Source organism: Homo sapiens, chromosome 18 (genome assembly GCF_000001405.40).
Source record: "Homo sapiens chromosome 18, GRCh38.p14 Primary Assembly".
Taxonomy (NCBI): Eukaryota; Metazoa; Chordata; class Mammalia; order Primates; family Hominidae; genus Homo; species Homo sapiens.
The window spans coordinates 24,232,101-24,244,354 of NC_000018.10; the positions used below are offsets into that span (position 1 = coordinate 24,232,101).

The window sequence follows — 12,254 nt, forward strand, 5'->3', positions numbered from 1 at the left end:
AAGCAACCCAAGGTACAGCTTAAAATATCAGTGCCAAATTTTTATTTAGCCTTGAGGTACAACTGCATAAACTCAGAAATAGCACAGTAAATATGAAGAACACAAAGAAAGTAAACACAACCTAACATATTTAAAGTGAATCATAAACTGAAAACCGGGATGAGTCCAGAGGGGGCTGCCAAGAGACTGCTGCAATAATTTACTAAGGAAGTGACAAAAGCTTGAAACAGATTCTTGGCAGCAAGCAACAAGAGTCGGAGACATTCTAGACAGATCCTCTCTGAATGATGTCCAAGGTCAAAATTAGCCAAATGGTAGGGTATTGCTTGTGACAGAGTTTCTTAAAAGTACCGGCTCATCCCCAAGCAACTAAATCTACTACTGTTTTCTACAATTTGTAACATCTGCACATGTAATGGAACATGAGGAGTTATACAAACCGTAGTGTGTGGGCTACTGGAAATCTTACGTGGATCTATTTTGGGCTACCAAATCCAGAGCTTCCCAATTTGTCTTGTTTCTCAACATTATTTTTAGGAAGGTCACATTATGCATTAACTCTACAAAGAAAACAATTCTAGAACTAAAGGCCAGTTGCAGAATAATCCATAGTTAGAAAACAAAGTATTTTCATGTGACTTCGATGTAATAAGTCAACATTTACTAAGTACCTACCACACATCAGGTAAAGTGCAAGTTGCTGAAGCAGTTTGGAAAGATGAATGATATGGCTGGTGCCCTCCAAGTGTTCAAGATTTAAAAGATGTACTCTTACATCTGCTGAGAAATGCTAAAACTGGTTTCAGTTTCATGATATAACTATCTATTGGTTTTGCCCATCTACGCTATCGGATTTTATGCATTATTCATGCACATTTCAACCAAAATAGCATTAAGGGGAACGCTTAGCAAGAAAGCCTTTCTAGAGCAACTGATCTCAACATGTTTCTCAAAAGGAAAATGAACACACAGTAAGAAAAGTAATGCGTTCTGAACCTACAATATTCAAAGAGCAGGAATTTTCCGTGAAACTGCTCTCAGACTAGTTACTAAAGAAAAACCACCATGAAATTAGTTATTTAACCAGTAATAAGTGTTTCAAAAACAACTCCTTAGAAGATTATGAGAGATTCCTAAAGTCATGTACCTTTAGTTTTCTCTCCTTTAACTAATTTTCATCTGCCCCCTCCCTGGTAGCAGTATCCTATCTCCAACTTTACTGTAAACCCCTTGGGAACAAATGTCATTTTCTAATATCAATACTATCTCATCCCTCCTTCCTCCTTTGCTACCCATCCCTACTCTCCCCTGCAGAATCCAAAGTGGTGAATATAGATGCATAAAATCACCATGCATTCCTGATTATCTTAGGCTCATTATTGAATAACAATATATTTTTAGGGAGGACAGAAACATCAATGACATTTCTTCAACAACCTGCATTCGACAAGCATTTAGAGAACTCTGATTCTGTGCTACGTACTTCAGGGATGTAAACAGATATGGTCCCTATTATATTTTTCTTTCTTTCTTTCTCTCTTTCTCTCTCTCTCTCTTTCTTTCTTTCAGACAGAGTCTCGCTCTGTTGCCCAGGATGGAGTGCAATGGCGCGATCTCGGCTCACTGCAACCTCCGCCTCCCAGGTTCAAGCTATTCTCCTGCCTCAGCCTCCCAAGTAGCTGGGATTACAAGCATGTGCCACCATGCCCGGATAAAGTCTTTTGTATTTTTAGTAGAGGCAGGGTTTCACAATGTTGGCCAGGCTGGTCTCAAAACTCCTGGCCTCAAGTGATCCACTCGCCTTGGCCTCCCAAAGTGCTGGAATTACAGGTGTGAGCCTCTGCGGGGTCCTATTATCTTACAAACAAAACACAAGGAGGCTATAAAAGAGATGTAAACTGAAGGAAACACAAAAAAAGAAACTAATTCTGCCCGGAGGAGTCAGGAAAGGCTACCCAGGAGAAGAGGTATTTGAGAGCCTTGGTGGACAAAGTAGCAAAAAGAAAAAACAACACTGATAGGGTAGAAATATATATGAATATATATGAAGAACCACTTTCTTCTTCTATAAAGCATTTCTATAAGCTTATTTGAAGAATACTTTATCCACAGTGGTTTCTCATGATATCTTTTTGTTTCAATGCGCATGAATGTCTAGCCCTTTTCCCAGGAAGTGTTCCCTTACAGCTATATCCGAAATTTCACTTGACATAACCATTTCATTCCTTAAACACACCCACTCCCACACCCACACACGCAATGAGGACAAAATGTGAGGCTTCATTAAATTTATCTCCTTTTAAATAAGTTTACACAATGGAATTTAATCAAATTTGTGGGGAAAAAAATCTGTGTGCTTTATGGAGTTTTATGAAATGTTTCGTCACTGAGCTTACTGGAAAAATAATTTTCTCAAGCGATCCCAGGGGGGACGCCAGGGGGCTGGAAAAATTCCTCTCTTACACTGCTGGCTCTGCACCAAGGCTTGCTTCACCCACCTTATGAGTAGATTTCCATTGATCTTGCTTATCTGAAAAAGCTTAAAGGGATATGATAAAGGGAAACAGGAAACCACATGGACTTTAGATCTAATGAAGTTATCCCTTTATTTTAAAGTAACACGAGTTAACAACTTTTTAAAAGATTAAACATTTAGTGAAAATATTTTTTAAATCTTTTAAGAAGAGTAAGTTGAAAAATCTTTTTTTTTCATACCTTCTCAATATCAGGATAGGCTTGATTTCATCTATCGTCATGATTTAGTTGTTAAAATTAAGCTTCAAATGAAGTGGAGGTTTGTATACTTTTCATTGCTCTTTACTAACTGTGCATCCAACTGCCTGACATCACTACTGCATCTGAGGCCTGGAGGAGGCACTGGTATAGTAAGTGGAGGGAACAAGGGGACAAAGTGAGTGTGAAGAGGCAGTAGGGTCTGGATCATGTCGAGAGCCTTGAAGGTCCGTGAAGGCATCTGAGTTTCATTTTAAGTGCAATGAGAAACCACTGAAAAATTCTAGGTGAGGGAATGCGATGATGTGATTGTCAACAAAGGATCACCATGGATGGTGTGTACGGGATGAACGTCAGCAGGCCAAGGCTGGAAGCACCAAGATCAGTTAAGAGGCTAGAGGAAAGTAGGTGCAGTGCGGGTCACCATAATGAGAGCTAATATCTGCTAGCCCCTTAGTGTGCCTGGCACTGTTTTAAGTACATTACAAATATGTATTAGTTAATTCTTTGCAATGATCCTATGACCCATTTGCAGATGAAGAAATGAGGCAGAGGAAAGTGAAGTAACTTTCCCAAGAGTAGGGGAATGGTAGAGCTTTGACTAAGCAAGAGCCTTCAGCTTGAGTACCTATACTTTTAACTGCTACCCTCCATTAGTAAAACACAGATGAATTCAAGATATGATTTGAAGGCAGAATGGCCAGGCCTCGATTCTATGTCTCATGGAAATGTCACGAATCACTCCTAGTTTCTGGCTTTAGGAGATGAAGAGGTGCCATTTACAAAAATGAGGCCAATTCCAGGAGAAATAGTATCTGGGAGGAAGAGCAAGCATTTGTTTTTTATACATAAAGCTGACAGCTGAATATGTAAGTCTCTAGCAAGAGATCAAGGCTGGAGATATAAATTTGGGGACTGTGGCAGTCAGCACAAGGGCTTCCCCAAGACGTCCATGTCCTTATCTCTGGAACCTGTGAATATGTTACCTTTCATTAATAAAAGGGACTTTGCAGATATGATTAAGTTACGTATATTGAGATGGGGAGATTATACTGGATCATCTGAGTAGGTCCAACGTAATGCCATAGGTCTTTATAAAAGGGAAGGAGCAAGGCCAGAGTCACGGGCAGTCAGAGAGAGACTTCCAGATGGAGGATGGGGCCTTGAGCCAGGGAATGCAGGCAGGTCCCTAGAAGCTAGAAAAGGCAAGGCAACAGTCTCTTCTAGAGCCTTTAGAAGAAACACAGCCCTGTGGACACCTTGATGTTGGAACTTCTGACCACCAACTGTAACAGAATATATTTGCATTGTCTACTAAGCCACTAAGTTTGTGGTGATCTATTGCAGTAGCAATAGCAGACTAATACAGGAATTTCAAGTTAGTATTTAGTTATACAATATTGAAAGTGTAGGTGAAGGAAGCAATAACTAAACAAAAGTCTCCTTGAGAAGTCACAAGGAGACAGGTACCAGAACAAATGAGGAAGAGATGGCCTTAATGAGGGGGGACCATTTGTTCCCTTGTAATAGAGTGAAGGAGGAAATGGGGACAGAGGCTGGTGTGTAGAGACTACAGAGGGAAGATGAAGTCATTCCCATATGATGGCTTTGATGATTTCAATGAATTGGGTGGCTAGGTCAACAGCAAGTCAGCACTTGACAGGGCATCTGACTCTTCATTTTAATGCAGTTTCTACACTGTGCCAAATTATTCCAAGATTTTTAGTAGGAAATAGGAGTAGCCACAGAAGGGCTACTGTGTTCATGCAAGTGTAACAAAACTCAGGTGTGCTATTCAAGGCAAGGAGAATATGCTTGGCACCTGACCCTTGCTCCACTTCCTATAGCCATGGCAGGATGTGCTGATGAGCCTAGGCGTTTGGACTGAGCCTCAGGATCGTTCTCAACACAGCAATCCACAAAGCAGCAGATACGGCAAAACAATCTGAACTGGCACTTGAGATGAAATGTATTTGCCAATCCTGATCTAGGGACTATGGTTCTTTTTCTCTCTTCCTCCCGGAGGAGACGACTATTAAAATATTACTGAGAAACAGAAAGATAGTGGCTGCTAGACGTCTATCAAGAAGAGAAGGATTAAGGAAACTGTGACATAATTATATCATGGACTTTCATGCAACCTTGAAAAAGAGTGGGCTAGAGCTTATAACACTGACAGTAAAGATTTCTAAGACAAGTTGTCAGGAAAAAGCAAGTCCAGGGCAATTACACTGCTCCTTCCATTCATGACTTAAAAAAAAAATCTATATATATACACAAGCACATATATATGTGATGCTCAAAAAAGGTCTGTAAGAGAGTATATCCGGCTGTTAATCAGAACCTCTGAGGAGGAGAAGGAGTGCATGATTAACTGGGATAACAGGTGAAGAGAATTTCACTGGGTTCTCACATACTTTTATATGGAATTATTTAGAACAAACATGGGGTTCTTAAATAAAATTTTTTAAAGGTTTTTTTTTGTTTGAGACAGGGTCTCATTCTGTTGCCCCCAGGCTGGAATGCAATGGCACCATTACAGCTCACTGCAACCTCTACTTCCTGGGCTTAAGCGATCCTCCCACCGCAGCCTTCTGAGCAGCTGGGATTACAGGCATGCACCATCACGCCTGGCTAATTTTTGTATTTTCAGTAGAGACGGGGTTTCACCATGTTGCCCAGGCTGGTCTCGAACTTCTGGGCTCAAGATGTCCTCCTGCCTTGGCCTCCCAAAGTGCTAGGATTACAAGTGCTCAGCCACCATGCCTGGTCATAAAGTTTTATTTTTAAAAAAGAATATATAACATGAGCAACTGAAGTATCTGGGCTCTTTTATATTCCAAGCTCTATGCATTTAGACCTAGCATCCCTCTTGTAATTTTCCTTTTTGGATGCTCCCCATAGAAGAAGCGCCACTGGACCTGGCACAAGGTGGACGTGTAATAAATGTCAGCAGTCACTCATTCTCCCTCCGACCTCCCTCAGACAGGCTAAATACTTCCCTTGCCTTGTCACTCATTCCATCGATCTCAAATCCTACCTTCTCTTCCCAACGTGAGTCACTCTGTTCACAAATCCCTTATTTAATTGACAACCCGTCATCATTATAATCTTCTTTGTCCAATTGTTCCCAAATCTGGCTATGAAAATTACTTCTTCCCTTTCTTTTACTTCTATCAAACCTCTATTAATAATGTTCCTATTTGTCTTAATCAATCAATCACTTCCCCGTCAATCTACATTCTACCAACATCATTTTCCATGTACTGTATTACCATACCATTTTCTTTAACTTCCTTAACCTAATCTTCAGTTCTCATCTCTCCTACCTCTCACCATGCTTCCTCTCTTTCCTGTCCTGTTATGAATTTGATCCTTCACTTCCAATACACCAAGATTTCTTGCATCTGTGATCAAGTGTTGTGAAACTCAGTAACTGTATATGCTCACCTATTATATATGCATTTCATTTTCTCCCATACAACAATTAATTTTTCTCAGTCCCACTGATCTCCAACCACCCCCTTCCATGTTCCTTTCCCTTCTCCCACACACACCTGCCTCAAAAAATTTGAAAGTAAATTCCAAAAAGGTCAAAACTACTTAGCAGTACCTCCTCTCATCCTCCAATCTCCACGTGCATTCCCCATTTTTTTAGCACTGAGTATCACCAGGCACTGTTCTAACCACTATCTAAACAGAGAAACTCATTTAGTCATCACACGACCTATTGAAATGGACACTATAATTATCCCATTTTAAATATGCGGAAACTATGAAGAGAGAGGTCATGGAACACGCCCCAGGTCACACAGCTGGCTAGTGACAGAAGCTCTGGAGTCCATGCTCCTTGCAGAAATGCTATGCCGCCCTTTAGTGTGTGTTTCTGAGGCAAAGTTAAACACCTCCTCTTCTCTGCTCCAGACACATGGTGGTCTCACCTCTACTGTGGCACTTAGCATACTGTGCTATCACCAAGCACTTGCGCTTCGTTACCTGTATTCTTTATATAAAGACCTCTTTGAAGACAGAAACTGTCTGTCTGTCTCTCCTTACAATATGTGCTAATGCCTGGCACTAGGAAATGGTCACCCAGTAAAGGACAAATCAAATGTGGGCAGTTTTAACAGCACTCTAACCTAGCCTAGAATACATCTTCAGTATAGGCAGAGACTGTGATGAATTTCATTCCACACTTTCAGACACCAGCCTTAATAACATGACACACAAAAAATCTGGGGAGCTATACCAATACATCGCTATCTGTTTATTCCAGGAAACTCTAGGTGACCTCTGCTCTAAGGTGGTGGACTCAAGGGGACATTGCTCATTTAGGTGGTGGACTCTAAATCACCAACAATGCAGAGGGAAGGATCCCAGAGTTACCTGACAGCGCATCATAGAACTCGTCCTCGCTAAGGATGCTGGCGGGTGGAGAGCCTTTCACCAGAGACTGCTCTAATTCATGATGTTCAGTGGCCAGCGTCTCCAGTGCTTCTGACAAGATTTTGTTTTTTTCTTGCTCTTGTTCCAATTTAAAATTCCTCACCTAGAAGAAAACAGATATACAGAAAAGACTTCAGAGTGACAGGAGACACAGACGTACTCAGAGGATGTGAAAATTAATTGCTTTTGATCCAGTTCAACTGCAATATCAGAAATGAAAACAGTCGTGTCACATGTGCATGGATGAATGAGCAAAATTATTAAACTAATTTTGTTCTTCCCATGGGGCCTTTTCTGGCAACAGCTTAGCTAATGAAAATAGATTCAGAACTAGCAAATAAATTCAGCTCAAATGATCAGGATCCTGGCATAAGAACATCAGTCAATTCAGAAATCATACAATTCTTTTTAAACATAAAGAATATTTCTCTCTCAACATTAAGTACACAGTTAAAAAAAACAGTTTCAGCAAGTCTTGGAACAAAAATTTTAAAAAAATTCTAAATATTAAAAAGCAAACTACATCAAAGCATAAAATATAATCCCTCAGTTTACTCCCAAAATAGTTGGTAATAGTTGGTATATCAAATGAAGGGAAACAGGTTGCCTGGTAATGACTACAAACATTCTATTTTTCATTTTTCTCTTTTTTTTTTTTTTTTTTGAGATGGAGCCTCATTTTGTCGCCTAAGCTGGAGTGCAGTGGTGCGATCTCGACTCTGAAACCTCCGCCTCTTGGGTTCAAGCTATTCTCATGCCTCTGCCTCCTGAGTAGCTGGGATTACAGTTGTGCACCACCACACCTGGCTAATTTTGGTATTTTTAGTAGAGATGGGGTTTCACCATGTTGGCCAGGCTGGTCTTGAACTCAGCCCCTCAAGTGATCTGCCCGCCTGGGCCTCCCAAAGTGCTGGGATTACAGGCCTGAGCCACCATGCCTGGCCTATTTTTCATTTTCCAATTCCATATTTTGGTTTCAACTCCACATTTTACCTTTAACTTAGTATACTAAAAAAGTCAAAAGATTATCAAAAAGGCAAAGCCTGGTTTGATTTTTTTACTGTTTGAAGTTACAATCTATTCCTCCTGTCTAATGCAGCAGTATCTGAACCTTTTGGTTGACCAAAACCCTCTACAATTCAAGTCACCTAATCCTTATAAAATAGCATGTACTGGATTTGATAGGGACAGTTTTGCCTATTTTCATATCAGTAGTCCGGAAATCACTACTATGCCTTAATCTTGCTGGATTTCTGGAGCCAATGTGCACTATAGACAGACAGGAGGCAGAAAAGCAGGGATCCACTGGTAGGTAGCAGCAGCGTCTTCTCAGAAGTCTCTTGTTCGTTAGTTTCCTCTCCTATAAGAGGTTTCTGCTATCACCTAATAATCTAATCAGAAGTCTTCAACATAGTGGTCTTCAAACTACTTTTTTTTTCTACTTTAGCAGCGGAACCTATTTCTCAACTGTAATCCCAACATATAAAATAGATGTTTTCGAAAGCAGTTGTGCACTGGGTGACACTGAATGAAGCAGAAGCCACACTCCTTTCACTTTCCCTTCCCTCCCAGAGGTCCCCTCTAGGGCCCAAACCCAGGTGGTATCCCAACAGTTTGAAAAACACATGGTAGTGGTACCAAAACAGATACACAGACCAATGGAACACAACAGAGGCCTGAGAAATAACACCACACGTCTACCACCATCTGATCTTTGACAAACCTGACAAAAACAAGCAATGGGGAAAGGATTCCCTATTTAATAAATAGTGTTGGGAAAACTGGCTAGCCATATGCAGAAAACTGAAACTGGACCCCTTCCTTACACCTTATACAAAAATTGACTCAAGATGGATTAAAGACTGAAATGTAAGACCTAAAACCATAAAAACCCTAGAAGAAAACCTAGGCAATACCATTCAGGACATAGGCATGGGCAAGGACTTCATGTCTAAAATACCAAAAGCAATGGCAACAAAAGCCAAAATGGACAAATGGGATCTAATTAAACTAAAGAGCTTCTGCACAGCAAAAGAAACTTACCGTCAGAGTGAAGAGGCAACCTACAGAATGGGAGAAAATTTTTGCAATCTATCCATCTGACAAAGGGCTAATATCCAGAATCTACAATGAACTTAAACAAATTTACAAGAAAAAAACAAACAACCCCATCAAAAACTGGGTGAAGGATATGAAGAGACACTTCTCAAAAGAAGGCGTTTATGCAGCCAACAAACATGAAAAAAAGCTCATCATCACTGGTAATCAGAGAAATGCAAATCAAAACCACAATGAGATACCATCTTACGCCAGTTAGAATGGCGATTATTAAAGAGTCAGAAAACAACAGATGCTAGAGAGGATGTGGAGAAATAGGAACGCTTTTACTCTGTTGGTGGGAGTGTAAACTAGTTCAACCATTGTGGAAGACAGTGTGGCGATTCCTCAAGGATCTAGAACCAGAAATACCATCTGACCCAGCAATCCCATTACTGGGTATATACCCAAAGGAGTATAAATCATTCTCCTATAAAGACACATGCACACATATGTTTATTGCAGCACTATTCACAATAGCAAAGACTTGGAACCAACCCAAATGCCCATCAATGATAGACTGGATTAAGAAAATGTGGCACATATACACCATGGAATACTACACAGCCATAAAAAAGAATGAGTTCATGTCCTTTGCAGGAACATGGATGAAGCTGGAAATCATCATTCTCAGCAAACTAACACAGGAATAGAAAATCAAACACCGAATGTTCTCACTCTTAAGTGGGAGTTGAACAATGAGAACATATGGACACATGGAGGGGAACATCACACACTGGGGCCTGTTGGGGGGTGGGGGGCAAGGAGAGGGAGAGCATTAGGAGAAAATTCCTAACGCAGATGACAGGTTGATGGGTGCAGCAAACCACCATGGCACATGTATACCATGGCACATATATATATATGCAGAACACTGCATGTTCTGCATATATATCCCAGAACTTTAAGTATAATTAAAACAAACAAACAAACAAACAAAAAAGATTCAGTTAGGGGGTTAAAAAAAAAAAAGAAAGAAAGAAAAGAAAAGCACTGGATGGAGTGACATCCAAAACCTCCTCTAGGTCACACTTTCCATCTTGAGGTTTTGGGAACTGTGGCCCCTCTCACAAATCCTGCATTACTCACTGCCAAATCTAACCCTTTTACCTCTTGACACTCCCTCTCCCATGCTCCTCCCCACAGCCCCCAAGGATGAAGGCTCTTCTCTGTTCTGTGGCCCTGAGTTCCTGCCAGCTGCACATCAGGTACAACACTCTAAGGTCTTAGACATAGCTTAAGATACAGTTTTACTGAAATGTTAAGTTTATAGCAGAAACAAGGTTAAACCCAAGTTCCAGTCCTCAGGCACTTTAGTGTTTATCAATACAGCAGGCAGATTATTATTATTACAGCTGTGATAATGAAATAAAAATCGCAATAAATGGTAAGCAATCAAGATCAGAAGAGACATGAAAAATTGAAAAACAAATTACTCATGTAATTACAATTTTTAGAAAATCTGAAAAATACTTGCAAATATTCCTATAATCTAAATTGTATCTCCAGAAGAGGAAATAAGCATACTAAGGCTAGAGTCAACTTAAAAAAATAAATAAAAAGCTGTCCTACTTCCATCAGATGGGTTAAACACTTCATTTCTCTATTATATAAACAAGGACTACATGAGGCGGGCAGATCACTTGACTTCGAGACCAGCCTGGCCAACACAGCGAAACCCCATCTCTACTGAAAATACAAAATAAGCCAGGCGCAGTGGCAGGAGACTGTAATCTCAACTGCAGAAGGCTGAGGCAGAAGAATCGCTTGAACCCTGAGGTGGAGGTTGCAGTGAGCTGAGATCACGCCGTCGCACTCCAGCCTGAGCAACAGGCGAGATTCTGTCTCAAAAACATAAAAAATAAAAAATAAACAAGGACTACAAAATTGAGCAATGTCCAAAATGATCCTTTCTTTGAAAAGATCTCTCAGCACTGTTATATTTGTAGATTCTAAAATCAACACTGCAAGAAAATCCAAATTCTTCACCCCTGCCTACCCCATCTCTTTCCCCTTTTTAGCTTTTCCAATATCAAAATGTAAATTTGCTGTTGACACCATATCTTTAAATATAAGAATTAACTAAAGTATCCTATTTAACGAGTACATACATTTTAATACCTAAATTCATCTAGATTTCAGCAAAGTAGCAAGATAAATGATAGAGGCCCATAAATATCCAGTCCCCTCAAAAAAATCTTATTCAAAATGCAATCTACCCGTTACCCACCTAAAATAAGCACCACTTAGCTGCTACCGCATTCACATCTGTTCTCACTTGTTCTTGAGAGACAGTAAAAGGGGTTGGAAACAGGACAGGAAGAGACTGAGGCTCTAGCCACATTCTATTTCTTACTTTGTTTTCATCTTTCAATTGATCTGAGTGTACTTTTATTAGTTTCAAGCCTAACAGGATTTTCTGCACTGAAGATACCTTCTTATAAAATAGCCACAAAATGGCAATTTCTCCTGTCATGTAAGTGATGTATATGAGAGAGTAACTACACATCACAGAAAATGCACTGGTAATGAGTTTTCTTGATACTTTAGAGAAACATCTGAAAGCATGCTTAAGTGCCATTAGTACTTTTTGGTCAGAAGGATCACTGAAACGATGTAATTCCAGATCCTCTACAGTCTCCACATTTCAGAACACCTAGGGGAAATCCTGCACTAAAAAATTGGTGTAGAACTGCTAAAAAAGATATGCAAAGTGCAACTTCATAAAATATTCACCTTACTTTTGAACTGTTTCCAAATTCTTAGTTGCAAGCTTAGAAACTATGGTGTAACAGAAACAGTGCCTTCTGCGCAATCTCTTAATGTCTTTGTAATTCCAGGCACAAGGCTTCACTTCTATTATGTATCAATATGTGAATATTGATTACTAGATTTTTTAAATTCTCAAACAATAATCATCACCCTAGTTATTACTAAAAGAATAAATAACTTCCTTCACAGAACTAGTGGGTCCCAAC

General features: G+C 40.0%; 1 protein-coding gene across 4 annotated transcripts in view, besides 1 other annotated feature; it reads right to left on the reverse strand.

Annotated features, from left to right (window-relative positions):
• The window catches only part of OSBPL1A (oxysterol binding protein like 1A), a 235,780-nt gene that overhangs the window by 70,056 nt on the left and 153,470 nt on the right, over positions 1-12,254 (reverse strand). For all 4 annotated transcript variants that reach the window (XM_017025530.2, NM_001242508.1, NM_018030.4 and 1 more), the window contains one exon: positions 7,120-7,282. In XM_017025530.2, coding sequence (XP_016881019.1) covers positions 7,120-7,282 — 163 coding nt within the window. The remainder of the gene's footprint in view (positions 1-7,119; positions 7,283-12,254) is intronic.
• Positions 1,529-2,138: an enhancer, noted in NCBI's record as "OCT4-NANOG hESC enhancer chr18:21813593-21814202 (GRCh37/hg19 assembly coordinates)". NCBI's record gives its function as "activates a minimal SCP1, AML or CMV promoter by ChIP-STARR-seq in naive H9 embryonic stem cells {active_cell/tissue: H9 hESC(naive)}" and the evidence as "EXISTENCE:reporter gene assay evidence [ECO:0000049][PMID:30033119]".